The following is a 25785-nucleotide window of genomic DNA, read 5'->3' on the forward strand; positions in this document are numbered from 1 at the left end:
TCCACAGGTGACACAGCATTGTAGAAAGAGTCTGTACTTGGAGTCAGTAGTCCTGGGTTCAGCTTGTAGTCCTGACAGGTACTGTGTGACCTGAGATAGCTAACTTGGCCTCTCTGAGTCTCAGTTTTCTCTTGCATAAAATGGGAATAATAATACCTATCCGGTTGGCTACAGAGGATTTTTTTAAGAGGTTAGAATAGAATACTGGGGTGGGAAGGCAGCTTAAAGAACATCTGATGCTTGAATTCCTTCCTATAATATCACCACAAATAAGCCATGCAACCTATCCTTGAACTCTTTCTGTGACAGGGAACTCATTCCCACAGACAGTCCAGTGCAATGTGAGACAGCCCTGATTTATTTTGAGCTGAAAAGTGCTTCCTTTAGCATTCCACCAATTGGTTCTTTTCCATGTAGATACATACAAACAAGTCCAATTCTCTTCTGAAAGAAGAGCTTTTAGAATCTGGAGGTACTAGCACGTCCCTGACATAGACAGAGCAGTCTCTGAGTCTTCTCTCTACCAGGCTCAGCTTTTGGTTCTCTTCACTATCGTAGTTATTGCACTCCAAAGGCACTTTAGGTAATTTTTAACCCTCAATGTAGCTTCTCTAGCACTGGATGTGGTATTCAGGATTTCTGAAATGGAGATAATGAATTGTGACATTCACCTCCCTTGTCCTAGATGCTATGCCTCTATTAATGCAGCTGACCCTTGAATTTGCTTTATTTAGTGGCCATATCCCAATAGCAGCCCTTCCTCCATAATCTTAGCTGCAAACATCTAACTTTCTGATCACCACCTCCTTTCTTTCCAGCTTATTCCACGTACTATCCAACTCAACAGTTTCTAAACCTCACCAGGACTTACTATCCATTGATCACCCTTTCACTGTCCCTTGTCCCTCCCCTTTACCACGTCCTCCCATTCTCTCCCCTTTTACCCAGCCTAGAGCTCATGATACAATTATAATCATTCCCTTGAATAGACTCTCAACTCCTTGCTCTTTCCCGTTTTCTCTTGCCTGGCAAAATCCCCAACCCTGATTACACCCTGCTCTCTTCGTCTTCCTGCCCTTGGACCCAGACAGTTGAACCTGGCTTGAGGAAGCAAGAAACAGGTTAACTAGCTTAAGTTAAATTCATAAACAGTAACCCCAAGGGGGCCCAGAGAGCTGCCCAGTGATCATGATCCAGCTTCCCAGTCTGGACATTCTCCCACTCTCCTAGATAACTAGGTCCCACTTCCTCTATCCTTAAACCTCCCCATCCTCACTCTATGCTGATGTCCTTGTCTTCAAGCAGATGGGACTCCCCCTCGCTCCCACCACCACATCTACCCACCTGCCCCATCAGTGCCCAGTACTCTGCCTTCCCTTTCTCCCTGTGGATGATTTTCTGTGCTCCAAGACTAAGCTCTTCAGGTGTGCACTGGATCCTTTTTCCTGCTTGCTTACTCAAGGACTTTTTCCCCCCATCCTACAGTCCATCATTCATTTTGTCTTTTGACAGGATCATTTCCACCTTATATAACCACAATATTATTTTGCTCTCATCTTAAAAAACAAAACACAACACCAACAAAACTCTTTTCTTATCTCCAGATAAGGAAACCCAGAAAAGTTTAGTAACCTGCCCAAGGTCACATATCTGAAAAGTGGAGGGGTCAAAGGTCAAATTACAGTTTGCCCACCCCTGAAGCCCACCCAGATGAGACTTTGTGCAGAGTTTGTGGGCTCCAGCCCACTGTTCTGGTTGGAGAAGCTGAGCTTGGACAAGGGAGCACTTTGCCAAGGATGGGCAGGCCATCTCTGCCAAACCTGTGCAATCTTCAGGCAGCAAGAAGGCTGGAGATTTGCAAGTGAGAGGGGAACATGCTTTGTCTTCAGAGGCCCACTGAGCTGCTGAAACTCTGGCTTGACCAGCTCTTCTCTCAGAGTAAACATGGGTGTGTGAGGGCTGTCATCAGGCCTCCATCCCAGCGGCACGTCAGCCACAGCAGTGTGAGCGGGTGGCCACGATGGCAGACAGATGGGGCAGGCAAGTGGGGTGGAAGCTGCCAGTACTGTGAAGCTTCCCCAGTGAAGAGATGACACCTCATAAATCTTGCAGGCCCAGAGCCCGTGTGGTCTGCCACAGTGCCTCATTAACACTTCCTTGTTCTCACATAGAGGTGGAAAATAACCAAATGTGACAAGCTGCCTTCCAAAGCCATTTCATCAGAAGGGCACACATTTTTCCTCCATCACTTGCAACATCCCTAATTGTGCTGAGAACCCTAAACAGCTCAGGCCAAGGGGGTTTTTCTCCTGGGACAATGATACTTAACTACCTCCAGATCACAGCCTTCAGCCATCAACCCTCTCATTCCCTCCCCTCACTGCTCCCAGGGATTCTCTCAGAGAATGAGCCCATTTGGTGTCCAGTCTTATCACTCCTAGGGGTCAAGTTGGAATTTTCAGAATACCTGGAAAAGCATGCATCTACTGCCTTTACTTTGTATATCAGCCAAAACCAGTGTTGACTTTAGTCACGGCATCTCTTAAAAGTCCTCTTTCAAAAGGGACAGACTGGTCCACTTACTTGTCTGTCACAGCCTGCATGAACTCATCCAGCAAGTCATCGTATGCCTTCCCGTGCACGCGCTGGTGTTTCAGGCCGATGTACAGAGGGTCTCTGAGCAGCTCCTGGAACAGACAGCACCCATTGACTGAGCCTACTCCCGGTGTTCCTGTTTTTTTTTTTTCCAACAAGTATCCAGGATTATTAGGAAGAACCAGAAGGTGGGAGGAGAGGGGGGAGTAAGAAGGTAACTGGATCCCCCCCGCCCAGGTGTCATTTCTGAAAGGGTCTGGAGGCTAAGCCAGTGATTGAGGTTGGACTCTTAGATGGTCCTCATTTTGGAAACCAAGGATGCTTTGAACCAGGCAAGCCTCTGTCAGACACAGTCTTTCAACCTCTGTCTGCAGGCTTTAGGGTTATTTCAGGATTTCTCAACAGTGGCATTACTGACATTTTGGCTGGGATAATTCTTTAACGTGAGGCCTGACGTGCACACTGTAGGATATTTATCAGCATCTCTGGCCTCTAGCCACTAGATGCCAGTAACACTCGCAGTTGTGGCCATCAAAAATGACTTCAAGGCCTGATGCGGTGGCTCACGCCTGTAATCTCAGCACTTCGGAAGGCCAAGGTGGAAGGTTCTCTTGAGCCCGGGAGTCTGAGGCTGTCCTAGCCAACCCAGTGAGACCCCATCTCTACAAAAAATTTTTAAAAATTAGCTGGGCATGGTGGTGTATGTCTTTGGTCCCAGCTGCTCAGGAGGCTGCGGCAGGAGGCTCACTTGACCTTGGGAGGCCAAGGCTGCAGTGAGCCATGATTGTGCCACTGCACTCTAGTCTGGGCAACAGAATGAGACCCTGTCTCAAAAAAAAAGAAGAAAAAATGAATGTCTTGAGACATTGCCAAAGGTCTTCTTAGGGACAAAACTGTCACCGGTTGAGAACCACTGTAGCTGACTTCAGGCAGAATTTCATTGAAGTATTGGGTCGCATCCAGAGTCCCTGGTCTGGACTCATGTTAGAAAACCAACCCACCCTCCTTTCCTTTCCATTCCTCTCTTTTCCTCCCCCTTCCTCTCTTACTTCTCTCCCTCCCTCCTTGAAATCTTACTGAATACCTACCATGTGCCTCACATTGTGCTGGGCCCTGGGGATACAAGCATAGAATGAAACAACCAGGAATTTCAGTTCAAGAGAGATGCTCACCTTAACACCTAGCCTGTGTTCAGGGCCCCTCCACCCCACCTCCTGCAGCTCCTTCCATCACAGCAGTCATACGCTATTGGGTTATCTGTGTGTGCGTTGGTGTGAATGACCACTCCTGCTGGCCAACTTTCCACGTCTTCCATTCCTGCCACCCCTACACAGAGTCAGTGGACTCATTCATGCATGACACATTTATTTCTCATGTACTATTGCTGACACTGGGCCCAGTGGGGGATTTGTAGAGGAGCAAGGAATGATTGTTGCCTTCTAGGTGCTGACAGGTGGCTGCTGAGTAAACAGACACATTATACTGCAGGGCAGAGTGACGCTGGTTTGGAACAAAGTGTGGCACATGGAGGCACAGTGATGAGTGAAGAAATTCCCTTTGGGGGGCAGATTGGGATTGTGTCATGGAGAAAATGGTCAGGTAGGAAGAGATAGGCAGATTTCAGCAGGTGGGCCTCCAGGCTGAGAAGACAGCACAAGGAAAGGTTGAGGGCTGGAGGCAGGAGGAAGAAATACCTGGTGTATTTGGGAAATGGGAGGTAATTCCATGGGTTAGTTTCCTGGAATTATCTACTTTTTTGTCTAACTCACCAAAAATATAAGTTCCTAGAGAACAGGATTTTGTGTTGTCTTCATCTCCATCTGAACTGCTGCTGCAGGACACAAAGATAAGGACCAGTGGGCCTACACTCCGACCCTCGGGGGCTTACAATCAAGTCTCACCTCCACCACAGCGAGCTGTGTGACTTTGGGCAAGTCGTGGGGCCTCTTGAAGGCTTCTTCTCATCTATCAAATGGGGATAAAATAGGGGCTGCATGGGGATGATTGTGATGATCAAGTGGAAAAATATATATGAAAGAGCTTGGTGAATTATAACATATGCTATAAAACAGTGGTAGCAGTTTTAGCTTTCACAGTGCCTCCAATGTGTCATGTACTGCCCTAAGTGCTTTACTTAACCCAATGAGGTTGTGTCAGCCATGGAGGTGTGTGGCTCAGAACTATCTTAAGGGAACCTGCTGAGGGAGGGCAATTGGTGGACAGCCTTCAGCCGCCACACTCTCCCTGGATTGCTTAATGACTGAGCATGGAGGGGGTGTGGGGGAAACCATTCCTGCCCAACCGAGACTCTGCTGGGGCAGGAACTTCTCACTGGCCTGACTGAGCTGGGGAGACTCTCCCTGGGCTCTCTTACTCAGTCCTCGCTCCCTTCTGCTCTCCCTTCACAGGTGTCTGACCTGTACTAGAGTTTGAAGGCCCCACTCACCCCCAACTCCTCCCACTCCCTCCCCCTTTATTCTTCACAGGTGTCTCCCCAGTACCTTTCTCACTCATCTATTTCTCAAAGGACCCGAGAGGTAGGTCTCATCGTTTCCCCCATTTTTTAAATGAGGCAACAAGACACAGAGAGGTGAAGCAGCCTGCTTAAGACCTTGGACTCGTAAGTGCAGGAGTCAGGATTCAAAGCTGGGCTGTTGGGTCCAGAGTCTGTGGTCTTAAGCACTCAGTCATGCTGCATGGGTGGCTCTTCTGCATACCAACAAGAATCAATTTTTCTTTTTAAGGACACTGTTCTGGGTCCATACTGCTTTCATATCACTGTATTAGGTGTGGGGGAGGGTGTAGTTTAAGGGACAGAAAAGAACAGGAATTATCTGTTAACCCTTCACCCCAAGGCCTGGGTACACGTAAGATCTGAGCTGGGTTTAGCACTTTGTCAAAGATACCACAGGTTTACATTTAGAAAGATGGTGGGTCCTGGCCTCCTCTCTCACTCTCCTAATCCCCTGGATTGGACACCCTTGAAACTGTTTAGGATTCTTCACTGATAGGGGTGTGTGCGTGTGTGTGTCAGTAGGGGGGACCTAAAGGGTGAAAGTGGTGCATACATGGTGCCTACCCTTCCACATGCTACCTTCAAAGTGACCATCAAAGGTCACTTAGAAGCATCAAACAGCCAGAAAGAAGAAATGATAAATGATAGTAGAGTAACATGATGAATAGCTAGGCAGTAATTAAAATTGGTGGTTTTAAGACTTTGCAGTCACCTGGACAAATTTGTAAGAGACTATTTAAAGTGGAGAAAACAGGATACAAAATTACACAGATATCATAATTATAACTCTCTGAAGCACATACATACAGAGCTTGGAAGGACATACATAAAAATGACTGAAAATAGTGTTACTCTTGGCATTGGCAGAAAACATTCACTTTGGCAGTTCTTACAAAGATTAAAAGGGTCCATGGTGAGTTATAATTTGGAATGTTGCCAAGTCACAGATTTGAATCTTAGTGCATCAAGCAGCATAGAGTGAATTTCTCAATCCTGCATATGCAGTTTCTGGGGTAAGTTAAGTTCCCCAGTGGCACTAAGGGATTTTTAGATTTTCAAAAAATTTCTCAGTATACTGCAGTAAAGATCAAAGGTCAACCATAATGAGATACTGCTGAGATACAAGGGTGACTATAAAAAGCTTTTAAAAAGTCCTTATATTTTGCTTTCCTAATAAAATGTTCTATGTCTCAGATACTTTAACCACAAAAAATGAAAAAAAGTTCCCATATGGATATGACGTTAAAAAATAGATTCTTATGTTTGTATAGAGCTTTCAAGTAATTCACTCATTTGTTCCTTCTAATAGTCTGACCTCTTCTCATCCCATTTTAGAGGAAGTTGGAGTTCAAGGGTTTAAATAAACTGCCCAAGCTCACAGAGCCAGAAAGTAGCTACCCTGAGATTGAGCTTTGACTGGGTCTCATGACGAAGCATCCTCTTCGTCCCATCACTTGATATTGTGGGGGCCAGGGAACCAGGGAGCCAAGGGGCAGCTCCTCACCCTCTGCCGGGTCCTCCTGGAGGAGGTCAATTGTGGCTGGGAAGGTCCAGACTCTTGACTTGCAGACCGGGCTGGGGAACGGGGAGAGCTGGAATGAGTTCAGAGGAAAGGCTGTGTATACATCTCTAGTCAACTGGTTCTCCTTTAGCAGGAGTGGAAATGGCTTCTCTAAAACAGTAGTGGGCAGAGCTCCTATGGCTGACTTGGCACAACATGGAACAAGAAGCCCACATTCTGCCCTGTATCCGCCAACTGATTCAGATATAAGAATGCCTGACAGCAAGGGGTAGGAGTAGTAACCTGCCTGGACCCCCTCCTTGCAGTCCTCCTCTGTCTGGACTTCTTCATAGGTGTTTAGAGGAGAAGATTTCAGCAGACAGTATTGCCAGATAAAATACAGGATGCCCAGTTAAATTTGAATTTCAGATAGGCAATAATTAAAAAGAAATGTTTAGAATTAAGTGTGACCCATGTATTACATGGAACACACTTATGCTAAAAAATGTTGAATTGCTTCTCTGAAATTTAAATGTCACTGGTGTCCTGTATTTTTATTTGCTAAATCTGGTAACCCTATCTACAGAGGCAGAGGAATCTTCAAGTTTGGAGGCAACGTGCCGCAGGGGAAAGGACACTGCTGGTCCTGGTGGCTGTGGTCAGGATGCTCCCCTCTGAGCATCCTCAGTAGGGCCCAAAGGGGCTCTAGGCTTTCAAATCAGATAGACCTGGGTTTGAATTGAGGCTTTGTCACTTGACTAGCTCTGTGGCTTTGGGGAAGGTATTTAACTTTTTTCTGCTCTCTGTTAAATAGGGAATAATGATTTCTATCACACAATGCAAGCTCTTTGAGCTCCTCATTCATCCGCATCTCCCCAGCTAATTGTACAGTGATGGCACACATAAGCCCTTGAGAAGCATTTAGTGATATGATTGCAGAGTCCTGGGACTGGGCTAAGGAGATGCTGAATTAAAAATTAAGAAGGTCTTAGAAATCACTTGGTTCTGCTTCCTCCAAATGAGTTTTTGAAGGTTGGAAAGAATAAATGAGCTGCCCAAAGTCACAAAACACATTTGTGGAAACAACAAGGCAGAAATCATGGTTTCTAGACCAGGACTCTTCCCAGGGTGGGGACCAGGCTTATTCACTTCCATACTTTAGTGTTCAGTGGGTGCCTGGCACCTAAATATTGAGTGACTAAATCTTTCCCCTCTGTTAGATAGTTACTAAGTCCCCTTTGGAACCAAGTAAGTCAATGATTATAATTTTAGGTGAAGGCCTTTATTCAAAGTGGGTGAAGCAGAACTTTCTCCTCTGCTGTGGGAGTTAGAGGGTTGAATGTGCTCTCTATGGCTGTTTGCCCAGCTCTGCCTCCCGTAAGGTTTTTCTTGGAGACAAAATGTCATGGAAAAAGAAATGGTTTCCTCCTCTTCACTGCCCATATCAGTGAGCACTGGATTTCAGCTGGAAGACAGATAAACCTCCTGGTTGAAAAAATATTTATCTTGCATAGCAACAGGCATTCTGTGATGTTACTTAGGGAACCTGGGGGTCTGGGAGGTCACGGGATTGGGTTCACGCTGTGGGCACAGCACGCTTTCTCCTCACAGTGGCAGTCCCACCTACCACTCATTCCTTGGGAAACTCAGCTAAGCCTGGGGTAAGATACAAAGATCCTAGCAAGGGCATCCTCATGGGTTACACGTGTGTAGAGAGTGAGCTCTATGATGGCACCACATGGTGAATGCTGAATAATGATAATCTTGCAAGGTAGAAGAAACCCTGCAATACCCAGCTTGGTTGTCAACTCCATGCTTCCTTGGCGATCCAATAACATCCAAAGCACTATTTACCAGGCTCTGCTAATGATCTGCTCCCATGTTTGTTTCCCTAACCAAACATGACTCCCCTCCCTCCACCCATTCTTCAGTTCCAGAAGAGCACACAGCATCTCCTTCTGAGTTGAATTCATAGAGGCTCAAGACTTCTGCCAAGAGAAGATCTCCAAGGCTCAGCAGGGTCATTTTAAAGCCAAGCTCCATCCCCCGGGATTCCCCCACCCTGCCTTAGCACAGGGTGGGATAACCACTGGGTTTCGAGTCAAACCTTGGGGAAGCGCTTTCTGCTCTGAGCCTCGTTTCCCATGTAAAACAAGGGGGTTGAACGAGATGGTACTCAGGCCCCTTCTAACCTGAATAGTCTGTGACTGGCTGCATGTGGATGAAACAAAATAAATCCAATCCACACGTAGCCATGATGGAAGGCTGAGCAGGCGCTCCCTTCCCCTACCCACTTGGAACTTAATCATGGGATGTCCCTTCTTCATGGGATCATGGCGCCACATATTTATTTTTCCAAATCTCCTTGGTATTGGCAGGTAAAAGTGATGCAGAGTTTCAGGGCTGTGGACAGCAGATGTTTTCCTTCAACAGGAAACCTGGAGGGGTGTTGTCTTTGACTGTGATTAAAGCTCCTGTTGCCTCAGGAGTTTTTATAGAGACATACATACACACAGATGGTCAAGTTATTCTGACATTAAAAACCCTCATGACAGCATCCTCCCTGCACGGACATGTGAGATAAAAGTGTAGAAGGCCAAGCTTCCCTCTGTTACATCTCAGGCTTGCTCTGAGCAAAAGGTGTGCCCTGGGACTTCTGGGGGGAATATCTTGCAAACGGTTTCATTGAAAAAAAAAAAAGGAACTGTAGTTGGGAGATCACATAGTGAATCCATTTGAAAAGAGAAAAATCACCATCTTCCTAATGTTGGTCACTTTATAACTTTGAAAATTTTGTGTCCTGAGTTTCTTCAAGTGGGTCTGGAGGGGGCCCACCATTCCCTGGAGGGGAGGATGGTGTAAACAGCATTGCTATCCTCTGACTTGATCCTGAGTGTCCATGGGATCCTGCCTGTGTGAAACACTCATTCTCGGCCCCCATTTCCCAGTCTATAATGCAAACACCTGACCCCTTGGAGCAGTGCACCACAGTGGGCAAGGCAGCTGTGGAGCCAGACAGCTGGGTTCCAATCCCAGCTCTGATACTTAGAGCTGTGGGACCTGAGGTAAGTAGTTGACATGTTTCAGTCTCAGTTTCCTTATCTGAAAATTGGGAGAATAATATACTGGGGAGGAACTGCTTCCTCTCACCCCCGGGGCACATAGGAGGGCAGATCAGGGCATGTTCCCTCCTCCTAGACAGGGGTACTCTGGTCCCTCCCTGACATAAGGATCAGACCCAGGGAAGGTTCTCTCCCCTCCACATCCAGGAGGGAGAGGTGATTCTAGAGGCCTAAAGCACCAGAAGGAGAAGCAGACGCTTTGAGTAGATGTGACACGCGACTCATTAAAGTGACCAATTAGGTGACAGTGTTGAAACACTGACAACTAGAACATTCTATTCAGGCTGACCCTCATTTGTCTCCCTCAGGCTCAGCAGGGTGCCTGATACCCACTAAACACTCAATAAACTTTTATTAAATAAGGCAAAGTGTTCACAAAATAATCTTAATTGAAAAAATTAGAACAAAATTACATTATGATTACACCTAGGTAATAACTATCTTTATGTATAGGCATAGAAAAATTTTGGAAAGAAACACAAATGCAACATTGTGGGAGAAATACCATTTCCTTTTTCTTTAAAATTTTGAATAATGTTCTAAATTCATTTTAGCAATAAAAATTCTAAAAATCAAGAAATAATCTTTACTTATAAAGCAACAGAAATTAGGCACAGGTGTAATGTGGGGAGAGGAGCACAAACTTGGATTCGGCTCCTAGCCCTGCCGCTTCTAGCAGATCTTCTTGGGCAAATAAAACTCTCTGGGCCTCAGTTTCCTATGCTGTAAAAAAGAGGGTAATGATAGATGCTCCACTCACAGGGTTATTGCAAGGCTTAAACTGAGTGGTCCATAAAAAGGGCCTGATCCACAATTACTGCTACTTTCCAGTCATTTTTTCTGGTGGATTTGTTACAAGTTAGAGCCAGCTCTAAACTTCAGCATATCATTGCTGAGTGCTGGACCTTCAATGACAAAGGATCCCAATGCACCAGGGCAGACAGCACCCTTCCAGTGGATGCAGTGGCCTCAGAATCAAACTCAATCTGTTCCAATTCTTGCCTAAGGCCAGCTTTTAGAAGGAATGAAGGTCTCAATTAAATCCAGCTGGAACACAGCAGGAGGTGTTGGAAAGGAAGAATAAAACAAAGTTTGCTGCGCTCATCCACGCCTGCAAAGAAGCATTCTTTGAGGCCAAAAGACAATTTCAGCAAAACTCAGATATCTGGCTGGGGGAAGGGCATTGCTGTGCAGAGCAAAACTTGAAGACTGGTTTTGATGAGCAGCTGTAAAGCATGTATCCATATCTAACCTCCTGTCTCCTGAGCTGGTGAGGAGACACATGGAGACCAGGTGGTTTTAGAGGTTGAAGGATGCTTAGTAACTTTCTGGTCTAGTCTCTCAATATACTGAAAGGCAATTAAGTCTAAGGAGGTGCAATGACTTACCTGGCTCATCATGGTACTGGAACCAAGGTCCCTGGCTTGTCATGGTACTGGGAACCAAGGTCCCAATCCAATAGTTTTCCCACTTTCTTGCTCTCCCTCATCTCATTCCCACCCCCAGGATTTCCCAGCTGTTAAGCAAGGTCTGCCCACCGTTCCATCATTTGATCATATCTGCAGATGAAGCCTGAATAAGCATCATTCCTTACTAGGATCTAAAGTGCTTGCTTTTATTTGAAATGGGGATGCCTGGGCTGGGTGCAGTGGCTCAAGTCTGCAATCTCAGCACTTTGGGAGGCTGAGGCGGGCAGATCACTTGAGGTCAGGAGTTTGAGACCAGCCTGACCAACATGGTGAAACCCCATCTCGACTAAAAATACAAAAATTAGCTGAGCGTGGTAGCACATGCCTGTAATCCCAGCTACTCAGGAGGCTGAGATAGGAGAATTGCTTGAACCAGGGAAGCAGAGGTTGCAGCGAGCCGAGATCACGCCACTGCACTCCAGCCTGGGCAACAGAGGGAGAGTCTGTCTCAAAAGAAAAGAAAAGAAAAGAAAAGAAAAGAAATGGGGATGCATTGTGTTTAGGGAAGAGGAAGGCCATGTAAAGAGTCTTGGCAAATTTTCTTAAGAGAAATCACTGCAGAATGCAAATAAGAATAACTTCTTGACACCGTGAATCAAGAATTTACAAAATGACCATTCCTTTTGCTTCAATACTTACTTCTAGAAATTTATCCTAAGGAAATACTCAGAGATAGGGACAAAGACTCATCTGCAAAAATGGGTACCAGAGCACAATTTATATTTTAAAAGACTAGAAACAACCTAAGTGCCCAACTGTGGGGGTTTTCTTATGTAAATTATGATACATCAGGTAGCTATTAAACCGACACTATGGAATAATGGTTAATAGCCTGAAAGAAAACTCATGACAGATAATTAAATTTGAAAAAGAAATATAAAATACTGTATATATAATAAGAACACCACTTTTATTTTATAAGTGCGTGGAAAAAAAAAAGGCTGGGGAAATATACCAATATGTAAACAATGATTAGTGCTTGTTATGTGGCTGATATCTTATTTTTAACATTTCTCTGAATTTTCTCTATTTATTTATTTATTTGAGACAGAGTCTTGCTGTGTCACCCAGGCTGGAGTGCAGTGGTGTGATCTCGGCTCACTGCAACCTCTGCCTCCCAGGTTCTCCTGGGATTCTCCTGTCTCAGCCTCCCCAGTAGCTGGGATTACAGGTGTGTGCTACCACACCTAGCTCATTTTTGTATTTTTAGTACAGATGGGATTTCACCATGTTGGTCAGGCTGGTCTCAAACTCCTGGCCTCAGGTGATCCCGCCCCGATCAGCCTCCCAAAGTGCTGGGAACACAGGCGTGAGTGACTGTGCCCGGCCTCAATAATATGCACTGATCTCAAAGATAAATGTAATTAAGAGGGAATCCTTGGATATTTTTTCATGTTTTCTGACACAGAGACAGAGCTGCGAGTCACAGACATGCCCATGGTGGTTCCCAGAGCAGAGAAACCCTTGGCTGGGGCCTGAGCTCCTTAAACCACAAACTGCCAGGACTCCTGCAGCTGGATCTCACCTACGCTTGGCTCAGTTTCTCTCACTGGGTTTGCAGGACACTAATCTGTCTGATTCAGACATTTTGGCCCCTGGTGCTTTGAATTCCAGTCATTCCACTGGGGCAGCCTGCCTTGAGAATGCTAAAAAACACAGCCCAGTGGTCACACCCACCTCAAGGGAAATAGAAACTGCCTGGGGTAATGGGGGTCAGAGAGGAAGGAAGCCCAAGCAGGGGTCATTGTGGGTACAGAGGGCCTCATGGAGGTAGAGGAGCAAGGGGGCCCAGGAGTGGGAGAGGGAACAGGATGGAGCTAGGGGTGGGCAACCAGGGAAGAAGGTCCTCTACTCCACAACTGTGTAGGGGGAATGCCCTGGTCGGGAGGATGCCAAGAAAGAAATGGCCCATTGCTGTGTAGATATAACCACCCACAAACATGCTCCTCACCCTGTCCCAGTTGCCACCTTTTGGCCCCAGAGCTCCTGCCCTGGGCAGTGGGTTACCTCATTGTTGGTGCCGACGTCCAGCAGCACAGGGAGGCACTGCTGCGGGTTCACCCCTCCGCATGCCGTGTACAGGGCCAGCTTGCCCACAGGGATGCCCATGCCGTAGCAGCCCAGGTCTCCCAGGCCCAGGATGCGCTCCCCATCAGTCACCACCACGGCCTGAAAAACAGCAGGGCACCATCAATCAGGGACAGCACTTCCTGTGACAGGGTGCTCATTTTAGCAGCCCCAGCCCATCAGGCTTGGCGACTGGATGCCCACTGACTTTGCCGGTGTGAAAGAGCTTGTCTGGGATAAGGCCGGAGCATTTATTCACCTGCAGGTGACCAGTCCTTCCTGGCAGGCTGGTGACAAACCCTACTGAGAAGAGATGGCAGAAAGATGCCTGCCTTGCATTCTGAGCTTCAGGTGGGGGCTGCAGAAACAGCTGGAGGGAAACCACATTAAGTCACTTCACTCTCCCTCAAGGAAACTAAATAGACACTCTCAGCCTGAGACTCGGGGTGGTGGGTAGGGAAGGGCATAATTAAAGGAGAAAATAAAAAATACGTGTTCGTGCTGCTGCTACAGCTCCAGGGTTTAGAGGCTAATCCAAGTGCTCTCCGACCTACTCCTGGATTATGAAAAATCCGATCTGCAAAGAACAGGGCTCCTTGTGACATCTTCTAGGATCACTATTGCATATGAAATCAGGAAGAGTTTCAAGCTACACTGGGATTTACCTTTTGCATTTGGCAAAGAATTGCTGAGGGCCTACTATGTGCTAGATGTAGTGCTACTTCAAGGCTTACCTACTGTGAATTAATAGATATGAATGAAGCTGATGATGATGATAGGAATAATTGTATTATTATAATGGATATTCTTTTATTCATTCATTTAATACATATTTATGAAGCACCTACTTTGCATAAGACACTGTGACAAATTCTGTGGGAGCTTCAGTTTGCACATCTACAAAAGCAAATATGCATGGACACAGCCCTTAAAGGATTAATGGGCTAAAGGAGAGATGGAATGTATATATTAATAATCATGATTCTGGGAGGGAAGCTGGACTGCAGCAGAATAGCATAAAGGGTGGCAGAGATTAGAAGATGGGAGGATAACCCTTCATGGGTGAACGGACACACATGCCCTACCTTGGACAGGTGGAGATTGTGGGGTATGGGTGGGGAGAAGGGCATTTGATACAAAAGAAAGTTAAAATCCAGGGTAGAGGTGCTGGGGGTGGGGACAATGTAGGATGTGTTTGGGGAGCGAGGAGATGTAGGTTGCAGGAAGGGAAAAAATGGGAAGTCAGGCAGGAGTCAGACTGTGAAAGACCTTGAATGTCTAGCCAAGGAGAGCCCCTCAGGGTAACGGTGAAGTTGTTTGTAGGCCACTCTCACCTGCTCACCAGCACTAGCTATCTCTATCTCTAAAAGAGTTAAGTTTATAGGTCCCTCATCCCTTCATTGGAACCTGGCTTTGGATCCATTCTAGGCTACAAATGTCCTGATGGGCTATGAACACCATAGGGTTTGGTTAAATCCATGAAGGTACATTGCTGGGCAATGGGGGTAAAGAGATGAAGACCCATTCTTTCCCTGGAAGAGTTTATGATCTGGTACCCAAAGGGCTACGGGATCTTCTCACTTCCATTCTTTCTCTTTTAGTGGAAATAAGTGTAGAGATTCTTAAAAACATTCCTCTGCTTCTGGAAAAGGGTCTCTGGAGAGTGCAAGAGATCCATGAAAATCATGATATTCTCCCTTAGATTGGTCTACTGCCTCTGTGGAGAGTGCTCAAAGACTGCATCTCATGTGACCTTCCCCATAGCCTGGGCAGGTAGGCGGATCTGAGATTGTTATCTCTGCTTCACCGGTGAGCAAACAGAAGCTCAAGACCTTTATTTTCTCCATATATTTGTTAAGTGTCGGCCACATGCCTGGCACTGGCTGGATGTTTCCACATCAGTTATCTTAAAAGATTAGATGACTTTGCAAGGTCATCTTTCTAGTGAATGTGACAGGGCAGGGTTCCTGGTTCAGGGCTCCTTCTACCACCCCAACTGGCTGGGGTAAAGTGCCTGTGATCTTGGCAAAGTCCTGCCCTGCTTTGGCGCCACCCTCTCTGCAGCCTGCATCTGACCTCCTCTTGGTAGATCTCCCTGTTAGAGACTATGCCCTCATGCTGCCTCTGGGTGTCCAAACTCTGGGCATTTCTCTATCATCTCTCCTAATTAGAGCTTCCTTATTATGGTTCCCATTCTGTCAGAATCCTTCTCTGTGCTGAAGGGGCAGTGAGTGACATGAAGTTAAACAGAGGAAATCTGCTACTCCAGGCTGTTATCCCCACAACCCTAGGATGGTGACAGGGCTCTGTAGTGGCACTCTCCCAGCCTGGACATGCCCCAGGGCACTCTACTGCATGCCCAGCTCCTCTGAATGAGTGTCTCACCTCCATCTACTGTCCACCCGCAATCCTACCATGGTTATAGTTGAGTTATTCCAACAGTTTCACAACCAGACTCCTTGCCTCTCATCTTCCTTCCTTCCATTCTCTCCTGCCAACCAATGTCAGATTCATTGTGTCAAAAGCCCATTTTCATTATGCCATTCCCAGGCTCAAAGACCTTTAGTTACTTTGAACTGTCCATAGAATAGAGTCCAAAATACTTAACTCTTTAATTATCTGAATCCAACAGACCTTCTGAAACTTATCTCCTGCTATACATCTGTACACAATTGCCTTCTCTGGCTGTGCTGGCCTTCTCATTCTTCCCAGGCACACTCTGAATTTGCCTACCACCTCTCCATCTCAACCTCTCTATTCCTTTTTCCTGGAGGGTTCTTCTCCCCATTCGTCAGCAGCATAAATCCTGCCCATTATAATCTACTGAAATTTCTCCTTCCCCTGAATTGCCATATCTACCACACACCCTTCCTGTCTGCTTGCCTGCCTTTCACAAGCGTGTATTAAGGACCCACTGCCTGCCAAGACCCGCACAAGGTGTTATTTAAACCTTTGATGGTGAAAGCAGCTGGGTTGTTATTTAACTTTGTTTTAAAATGCACATTTTATCTCACAAAACAGCCTTTGTGGTTAATGGCAGGTGCTTTGGAGTCTGATAACCAGTTTTTGAATATAGGATCCTTGATGATGTGCCATGTGTAATTTTAGACAAATAGATAACTATTCTGAGCTTCAATTCTCCATAAAATGCATATAATAATAATAATAATAATACTTAACTCCTCAGGTTGTTGTAATGATGAAATAAAATATGTCTCATTTTAACCTGGTGCCTTGTATAAAGTAAGAATGATGAATAAATGGTTGCTGCTCTTATGACTGTAATGATGATGATTATTTAGGGCAAAGATTATATCTCAGACTTTGAAATTATTTCTGATCTCTCCAGTTTATCATTAACACAGAAAGACCATGCAATAATTATCTGTTAAATGAATGAATGAAAAAGAAACCAAGGGGAGACCTTGGCAAATGCAACATTTAGTAAAGTCTGGCCATGTGAAGCTTAATGGCTTTAACCTTGGCATCCTCATCCATTGTTATGGCTCCTACTGTCCTCTCTAAGTAGATGACACCTGTAGATAACTGTCTGCTGGACATTGCTACTCAAATGTCCAATAGTCTTCCCAATTCCCACAAGTCCCTAACCAAATGAATCCTCTTTTCCCTCTTACTCCTTTTGAGCCTTTTTACTCTGCTGTCCTCCTGCTCTCTGTTACCCTGTATCTTCCAAGTTCAAAAACGTCCAGTCTTCTTTGATTCTTCTCTGTTAGTCAACCACAGCCAATTGGTCACCAAGTTCTGCTGATTGTGCCTGCTTCCTATTTTAAACATCTGTTCCATTATCTTCATATTATTGCTACTGCCTCGGATCAGATCATCCATCTTCACTTGAGCCACTGCACTGTTCTCCTAACTGGTCTCTCTACTGGATTTTCCCCATTCCATTTCATTTTTTCTGAAGCATGCCCAGATATATCACTTTCTTGCCCCCAAATCTCTAATGGTCCCTGATGTCTGTAAAATAAAACCCAAACATCTTAGACTGGCACTTAAAGCCTTCCATGGGCTAGGCCCAAGCTGCCCTTTGAATTTCCCCTTTATTCTTTCCATGCTCCATCCAAACTGAAATATTTCCAATTTTGTATAAGGCTTGTACTTTCTTGAATACATGCCATTTTACTTCTCAATTTCTTTATCTCCTTGATACAAATCTTACCACCCTTGCATGTTTCAAGGAACAGTTCAAAAAGCATTTCCCTCCAGGAAGCTTCCCTTCTGAATTTTATCACTTCCTTCTCTGAATTCCCATAGCATTTTCCTCACCTACTAAACCTATCACTCCCTTCCTTGTATTATAGTTATGTACATTTCCTTGTGCTTCACAGTAGCTTGAAGCTCTTCTAAGGCCAGTAATGGGTTGTGTCATCTTTGATTCATCAGCACTTAACTTGGTGTCTGTAATGTGATACACACTCACAAATGGTGGGCAATGTGATAGATCCAACAGAGAAAACAAAGTGTCTTCTGCGCTGAACAGAGTTCAGACCTGCTGTGGATTAACAAGTTCAGAGAGAAGACACTGCACCCTGTTTTTCGTGACATCAATGGACCTTACGCTGGGAGCCACTAGTTCTGCAAATTGTCAAAAGGCTGAGGGCAAACCTGGGCAGCATCCTTGAACTTTAAAGCCAAGCAAACTTTTCTACAACAACAGAATCACATTTTCCTTGTTTGGAAGAGTTTTATAATTCATAACTCCCCTGTCTCTCTGATGGCTCAGGGGAGGTTTGGGGGAGGCTGTGCCATATTCTTCCTTTGCCCACCTGCCTCAGACCTAAGGCCTTTTCTGAATTATTGCCCACACCCTTTAGTTTGGGTGGACCCAATGGGACTGACCCAATACTGACCTGAGGATCAAATGTCCTTGCTTGCTCTGGAGCTTCCTTGGACTTGTAGCTATGGTCATAGCTACAAGGGTTGCCCACAGTGCTGTTTATACAACCCTCTTCTTCCTCTTTTGTTTCATCCTTCCTTCTCATCTTTCCTTTTATCCTCCTCCTCCTCTTCTTCTGCTTCTCCCTCTCTCTCTTTCTACCGCAAAAATAATGCACACTTCTTAGTTTCAAATCTTGGTTCCACTTCTCCCTTGCAAAGAACCTAACCTCTCAGCTTCCTTGTCTATAAAATGGGGATAACAATAGTCCCTACCTCTTACAGGGTTGCCATGAAAATCCAATGAGTTAATCTATGTAGAGCACTTGGCATCATACCGCATGAGGTGGATACGATGATGTGCTGCCCAGATCCTCCTGCAGGAATGAAAGAGTTATTTTCCCAGCTGTATCCTCAGATATCAGCCCACTTAGGGGAATTTCCTCTACTGAAAAGAGCCACCTTGCCCAAAGCCACACCTCCTTCCAAGGGCAGCCCCATATAGGAATCTAGAGACCCACTCCTCTGCCTCACTTCTGGATGCATTTGAAGGGCCATCCCAGGTCCAGAGCCTCCTCAGGGGCTCAGCGAGCCTTGCTTGAGATCTTACGGCAGCCCAACCTCTCCTTCTGCTCTATCCTGTTTCCTTCCTTGCCACAAGTGTTGACTGACAAAAGAGCACTCCCTAATACGTCTCTGAGACTGTTTTTCAGGAAATCTAACCTCTGACAATGAGCACAGAGTGGGGTTTAACACAGACTGGGCCAATGCATGATAGGTAGGCACTTGGCACTAGCAATCCGCTCTAAGTATAAACACCTAAGTGGCTGTTTACAGAGGATGTGCCCAGTAGCAGAGGAGGGTCCCTTGGCTCTCAGAACCTCCTCCTGCGAAGCTCCTGGGACTGGGGTGAGGGAGAGATTTAGGAGCTTGGGAAAACTGTTAGGGAGGAGGCTATTCTCAGCTGGACCTTCCTATAGGCTCCAGGCAATGGCCACTGTGGGAAAAAGTCAGAAAAGCAGTTCTCACTCCTCTTTGTGATTTACGCTGGACAGCTCAAGGCAGCCTGGCCTGGCCCGCCCCCTCCTTCCTGAAAAGCAAGTCCCACAAAACTTCGTGGTCTCCCCAGCCCTGGGCTTTGGCTCCATTTCCATCGCAGCCTACTTTTCTTACATTGCAGTTTTCAACTCTGCTTTCTTGCTGGGAAACCATAGAAAGTCATTTTTTACTTTCTGAGTTGATTCAGAGGCTCCTCTGAACCACTCCTCTTTCTAGGCAAGCAGCTAGCAACAGGCCTAAAGATACCTGTGCCTTGAAAAACTCTGTCTCCCCCACTTAGCAGTTGCTGGAGAAATGACTTAGAACCACAGCTCTGGGCTGGGCACCAACACTTAATTGTGGGTAACCTCAGACAAGTCACTTAACCTCAGTTTGCTCATCTGAGACACAACCCTATACATTCTTTTTTTTTTTTTTTTTTTTTTTTTTTGAGACAGAGTCTCACTACTCTCTCCCAGACTGGAATGCAGTGGCCTGATCTCGGCTCACTGCAACCTCTGCCTCCCAGGCTCAAGTGATTCTCCTGCCTCAGCCTCCCGAGAAGCTGGGAGGACTACAGGTGTGTGCCACCACACCCAACTAATATTTGTATTTTTAGAAGAGACGGGGTTTTACCATGTTGGCCAGGCTGGTCTCAAACTCCTGACCTCAGGTGATCTGCCCACCTCGGCCTCCCGAAATGCTGGGATTACAGACTTGAGCCACTGTGCCCAGCCCTTTTTTGTTTTCGTTTTTGAGACAGAGTCTTGCTCTGTTGCCCAGGCTGGAGTACAGTGGCACAAGGTTCACTGCAACCTCCGCCTCCCGGGTTCAAGCTATTCTCCTGGCTCAGCCTCCTGAATAGTTGGGACTACAGGCGCCTGCCACCACGCCAAGCTCATTTTTATATTTTTAGTAGAGATGAGGTTTCACCATGTTGGCCAGGCTGTGCTCAAACTCCTGACCTCAAGTGATCCGCCCGCCTCAGCCTCCCAAAGTGCTGGGATTACAGGCGTGAGCCACCATGCACAGTCTCACTCCTACACATTCTTCAGGACCCACACTGGGGGTTTCAGAAGTCCTTACTCCAACTTCTCCCAGTGACTGTGGGAACAGAATGAAGTAGTGAAGAAGAGGTTCTGCATCAGTTCCCAAGTGCTATGAAAGAATGATGAGCAGAGACTCCCTACCTAGGTAGGGAGACCTTCCTCTCCACTTTCTAAAGTAACTGAAAAATACACATCAGAAAACAAGAAAGACTGTGGCTTGGAAATTCTAAACCTTTAAAAGGGCACCTAGGGGTGGGGGGGGAGGAACCTCCAGAAAAAGGCCAGTGGGTAGGGCAGGGAGGGGTCTGGGGTAAGCCAGAGGCAGTCCAATCAGCTCTAGTGGACCTGTTCACATGCCAAACTACAGGCCCAATATTCAGAGCTCCTGGCTTTTCCAGAGAAGCCAGAAATCCAAGTGCTTGGATATATATTTCTCATGAAATCTCCTGATTTAAAAATGTTGCCTACAAATTCAAAATGTTGGAAAACCACTAAGAGCCAAATCAAATATGTTTAGGGGTCGAATCATTTGACTGCTCATTTGTGGCCTGTGATTCCCAGGTTAAGGGAGCCCCCTCAGGCCCTGACTGTACTGCGGTGTGGGCTACAGCTGCCTCCACCACCTCCAGTGATGACAGTATCCATTCAAGTGCCCTTCGATGTGTATAGACTTTATCATAGTTAATCCTCACAATAGGAAAGCAAAGCTCAGAGAGGATATCTGCACACGCAGCAGGTAAGTGAAGCTTCATGGCCAGAATCCAGGGCTGTCTTATTGCAAAGCTGGGTCTGATTCCTCTACATAGTCGCTGGGACTGATCTCCAGGTTTCTTCAAAGTGAGACAGGAATAAAGGATGGAGGTGGTCCCAGGCACTCACCTGTGTACTCTGCGGTACCACAGGGTGGGTGGGCAGCCAGTCACCTGTCTGCCCCTTGTCCTCTGGGGTCCTCTCTTTGGCAGCACAGATGCAATGTACTGTCACTGTTTCTGGATCAGTCTTTCTAACTAGACTTCGAGCTCCTTGAGTATGGGCTCCTATACATTCTCTGTATCTGAACCTCCAGGGAGCTCTTCCAGAGTAGATGTTTACTAAAAGATGGTTGAATGCAACTGAATTCACTATCATGGTCCCGGATCTGCTCATGCAACTTAACATTCTCCTAGAGGCTCTGGATGTCTCTCTTATTTGGGGCCTGCTGGAGTCCTACCTCTTCCAGGGTGCCCAAAGCCCTGTTTCTCTTCCTCTAAAATCACAGCGGTTGTGGTCTTCATCTCTTTGGCAATTAGCATTCAGTATTTAGAAGGTTCTCAAAATATGTTTATTGAAGTCAATAGATATTTAGCTCCTAAGGTTCTATTTTGAATTTACATCTTGGTTTCCCAACCACAATACGAAGCAATTTGAGGGCAGAGTCCATGTTTTTCTCATTTTGCATTCCTCACAGCAAGGCCCTTGATACAGTTGTGCCCTGATAAGAGGAACAATTGAAACCTGAAATTGAGTCCATGATCCCCTCACCAAGCCCCTGTGTCAGGTTGGAGGAAAGGGTGCCTTTTTGTTAAACAGAGGTACCTTTTCATCATTCTTTCTAGTTCCTCATAATTTGCACAAAAGCACCGAAAGTATTAGTGGAGAACCTCCTGGCACAGTATCTGTGACATGGAAGATGCTCAGCATGTCTATCAACTGAATTCATCCAACTCTGTGTAAGCATCTACTGAGTGCCTCCTATGTCCAAGTTTTCCCCATGGTTGAACTGTCCAGGAATGTGAGTGAAAGAGATAACTTTACAGGACCCCAGCAGCATATCCACTCAGATTAGTCCATCCAGTAAGCTGGCTTCCCTTAATGTCCTCAAGATTTTATTATAGATTCATGCTAGACATGCTGTGGAAACTTGCTTCTCTGGGCCTGGGACCAAAACCTGCAGGGCCTGCAGGACATATACCTGGAGTCTAAGCAGATAAGCAGGAGGGAGAAGCACAAGGCAAAATGATACCCAGACACAGATGTAAAAAATGAGCTAGGACTAGGGCCTTGGCTATGGCTCGAGCCTGGCTCCTGAGGGCCAAGGTTCTGTCCCCAACCTGCTCTGTTTTTAAGTAATATCATTCCCTGGAGAGAACCAGGAGTGGGTAGGACATAAAGGGAGGTAGACAGAAAGAAGCTATATTTGGTGTCCAGTGGAGAAGGGTGGAGGGGCTCAGGGAATGGGCAGGGAAAAAGAGAGAGAGGCCATGGTTCTCTCTTTGGCAGCACAGACACAGTGTACTGTCACTGTTTCTGGATCAGTCTTTCTAACTAGACTTTGAGCTCCTCAAATATGGGCCCATATACCTTCTCTGTATCTGAACTTCCAGGGAGCTCTTCCAGAGTAGATGTGTTGGAGTACCATGGCCTCCCAGGCAAGGCAGGGTGATGTGAGCATTGGCCTTGGAAGTTCCTTGTACTATGCTTGGTCAGCACCAACCCCTCCCCAGCTCAGGTGCCAAAAATGCCCTTACCACCCAGCCAGTGGATGTTCTGCATTTTTGCCACACCCATTTTGTTTCCAGAAGTAACAATGATCTTAGATACCAGAACCCCTCAAACTCCTCCATAGACATCTCTATAGCAGGAGGAGATCTGGGGATTTAGCCAGAGGCTAATACATTTCTACAAAGTTGCATGTTTTATGTATAAAAATTAACATCACTAGGCACGGTGGCTCACGCCTGTAATCCCAGAATTTTGGGAGGCGTCGATGGACAGATCACTTGGGCCCAGAAATTCAGGACCAGTCAGGGCAACATGGCAAAACCCTATCTCTGCAAAAAAATACAAAAAATTACCCAGGCATAGTGGCCCATGCCTGTCGTCCCAGCTACGGGGGAGGCTGAGGTGGGAGGATCACCTGAGCCCAGGAGATTGAGGTTGCAATAATCTGTGACTGCACTCCAACCTGGACGACAGAGTGAGACTCTGTCTCAAAAAAAAAAAAAAATATGGCAACTTTTGCATTCTATAACGTATATTGTTTGGTATACAGAAATGTTTTCTTCTTAAATTTTTGAGTAAAATGGATGCTCCTGGAAGAAGTGGCAGGTTTATTTTGTCATTCTACATTTATGCCCCTCATCCCCACCCCCACACTGCTGTGTACTCCCAGGGTACACATACCCAAGTGTGAAGATATTGTCCATCATAGGCTTTTACTCTTGGTACAGAATGTCCTCACTCCACAGCCTAGTCTCTCCACTACCTAACTGTCCACAGCCTACCCCTAAATTCAAGGCCCAGCTCCACTGTCACTTCCCCCAGGAAGTCATCCCTGAATCTCCTCAGGCTAAAAATCGTCATTGCCTCTAGAAGAACACCCTCAGTTCTTTTCGTGTACTTTATTTATCTCTGGACAAGTTCCACCTTGTTAGTCTTTTGTGCCTTTGGCTTATTTTCCATATAACATGTCAGCTACTCGAGAAGAGGGTCTATGCCTGATTTCTCTCTGCGTCTACCATGGAAACTGGCACCATATATTTAGCAAGGACTCAACACATGCTGAACATATCTTCAGACTAATAATCACAATAATGAAGGGCAATGTCACATGGATGCCTGGTTAATGCAAACCTCTGCTCTGTGGTGTATTTGTACTTGGCTATAACAGGTCTGTGGCTTAGGAATGGGAGGTAGTATGCTGCCTTCAGTGTCATAATGGCTCATTTTATAGATGGAAATGACTCTGGTTTAGGCTGAAATGATTCACCCAACAATGATTAAATAGCAATGAAAACGGGATCATACCTTAATATTGTCTTCTGGCCAAGAATTCAGCATTGTTGCAAGATGACCTTTGTCATGAATGGTGATGAACAGTCCACTAAAAGAAATAAAACACGTACACACAGAGAAACCAGGCAGTCAGATTAGGAACTGAGCAAAGTCCATAGTACTAGGTATTGCATTAATTAAATTTGCCCATAGACCTGGGCAAGAAAGATTCCTGCCCGAGGCCCCAGCAGTTTAGAGGGTCATCCTCTGGCTTTCTTCCAATTGCTTCTCTCCACAGGGCAAGGAGTCCATGGGGCCATGGGGTGTGCCCACATGGAGCCTGTGCTCCCCAGAGTCTGTGCCCTTTTTTCCTTCCTCTAGACCAGTACCCAAGATGCCAGAATTCCCTGACCAAATGACCCCAAGGCTGATTCCAGGGACTGTTTGGGCCTCTTTTCCAGGTCCCTCCTCCCAAGTACAGACCACACTGCAGTAGCTGGATCCCTAGGCCTGAGTCCGTGACTGAAACTTGGACATGGGGGTTGGGATGTTCAGACACATGTGCATGAGGTTCTTGCAGTGGGGGATGGAGCTGGGGATGGGAAGAGAGGTTAGTGACAGTCTTGAGCTACTCCATCATCACACACACACACACACACACACACACACACGCATGTGCGAAGGCAATGGGGTTTGGTCAAGAGCAGACAGATATTGGAGGGGAATCAAGCTTTGAAAGCAGGAATTATACCTTTTGGGATTTGCAAGTTTGCAGCTTTTTGCCTGAAGGCAGTCCAATCTGCAGGCAACTTGGGGCAACAGGAGGCCAAAGTCTTAATAGCTTGAGGTATCAGATAATAGAGTTGGGGCTAGAAGAGAAGCCAGGAAATGAAGAGGGGGTGGGTTCTGGAAGGGAATAAGCCGCGGAAAGGATAAACTCCCCAATCTACCCAAATTATTGGCTGACCACTAAACTATGCACACACAGGGGGATTGGCAAAAAAAAAAAAAAAAAAAGTACAGCTGGAATCTGAAAGAACCAAGCAGAGATTTAAGTTGTTGCTGATTAGGAGAGACAGAGTTGAGAATTTGAGTCCAGCCAAATCAACTCCCTCCTAGAACAAACATTACTCATCTGAGAAATAAAAGAGAATCCAGAGTCCATAGAATCTAGGGTACATTGAAGTCCATTGTAATATTCTGCTTACTTTATATATGTAAGAAATTTTCCATAATAAAAAAATTAAAACAAAATAAAACACCAAAAAAATCACTGAACCCCAAACTGTTCTTGACCTCCACATTTCTTGCCAGGACTGTTCTTTCACTCTCCTCCCTTCCATTGCCAAACTTCCTAAAAGCATTGCCTACACTAACTGCTTCCATTTGTTCATCTTCCATTCATTTCTCAACCCACTGCAGTATGTCTTGTCTCAACATCGTCCTACCAAAACTGCTCTTGCAAAGGCTACCAATGACCTTCACATTCCTAAGTGCAATGAACACTCATCAGTCCCCATTTCCTTTGTCTTCTTGGTAGCATCTGACACTTTTCATCACTCCCCTACCCAAAATTTGGCTTTTGTGACTCCATTTTCTTTGAGTTTTCCTCCTACTTCTCTGTGGCTCCTTCTCAGTCTCTTATGTTGGGTAAGTCATCCCGCCATTATGCATTAAAGTTCCTCAAAAATCTGTACTATGCCACTTTTTTTCTTACTCTTATTCTTTCTATTTGTGATCTTATAAATACCCAAGGCTTTTGGCCAATGACTCTCAAATA

At 45.9% G+C, this 25785-nt stretch overlaps 1 protein-coding gene across 23 annotated transcripts in view, besides 4 other annotated features; it reads right to left on the reverse strand.

Moving 5' to 3' along the window:
• ME3 (malic enzyme 3) overlaps window positions 1-25785 on the reverse strand; it is a 237687-nt gene that overhangs the window by 49824 nt on the left and 162078 nt on the right. For 20 of the 23 annotated variants that reach the window (NR_172888.1, NR_172889.1, NR_147828.2 and 17 more), the window contains 3 exons: window positions 24039-24114; window positions 13210-13371; window positions 2584-2687 (listed from right to left, as the gene is read on the reverse strand). Coding sequence is in view for 10 of the 23 variants with exons in the window: in NM_001395868.1 (NP_001382797.1) it covers window positions 2584-2687; window positions 13210-13371; window positions 24039-24114 (342 nt within the window). In the remaining 13 variants the exon portion in view is untranslated. Of the gene's footprint in view, window positions 1-2583; window positions 2688-13209; window positions 13372-18140; window positions 18310-18441; window positions 18543-24038; window positions 24115-25785 lie in introns of those variants that run through there. The other 3 variants (NR_147831.2, XM_047426309.1, XM_017017137.2) reach the window with 3 other exon arrangements.
• Window positions 12622-13223: an enhancer, noted in NCBI's record as "H3K27ac-H3K4me1 hESC enhancer chr11:86208417-86209018 (GRCh37/hg19 assembly coordinates)". NCBI's record gives its function as "activates a minimal SCP1, AML or CMV promoter by ChIP-STARR-seq in naive H9 embryonic stem cells {active_cell/tissue: H9 hESC(naive)}" and the evidence as "EXISTENCE:reporter gene assay evidence [ECO:0000049][PMID:30033119]".
• Window positions 13224-13825: an enhancer, noted in NCBI's record as "H3K27ac-H3K4me1 hESC enhancer chr11:86209019-86209620 (GRCh37/hg19 assembly coordinates)". NCBI's record gives its function as "activates a minimal SCP1, AML or CMV promoter by ChIP-STARR-seq in naive H9 embryonic stem cells {active_cell/tissue: H9 hESC(naive)}" and the evidence as "EXISTENCE:reporter gene assay evidence [ECO:0000049][PMID:30033119]".
• Window positions 19150-19350: a silencer, noted in NCBI's record as "peak1375 fragment used in MPRA reporter construct". NCBI's record gives its function as "represses an SCP1 promoter by STARR-seq MPRAs in K562 erythroleukemia cells {active_cell/tissue: K562}" and the evidence as "EXISTENCE:reporter gene assay evidence [ECO:0000049][PMID:32103011]".
• Window positions 19487-19556: a silencer, noted in NCBI's record as "silent region_3827". NCBI's record gives its function as "represses an Ori minimal core promoter by ATAC-STARR-seq in GM12878 lymphoblastoid cells {active_cell/tissue: GM12878}" and the evidence as "EXISTENCE:reporter gene assay evidence [ECO:0000049][PMID:35858748]".

This window comes from Homo sapiens, chromosome 11 (genome assembly GCF_000001405.40).
Source record: "Homo sapiens chromosome 11, GRCh38.p14 Primary Assembly".
Lineage (NCBI taxonomy): Eukaryota > Metazoa > Chordata > Mammalia > Primates > Hominidae > Homo > Homo sapiens.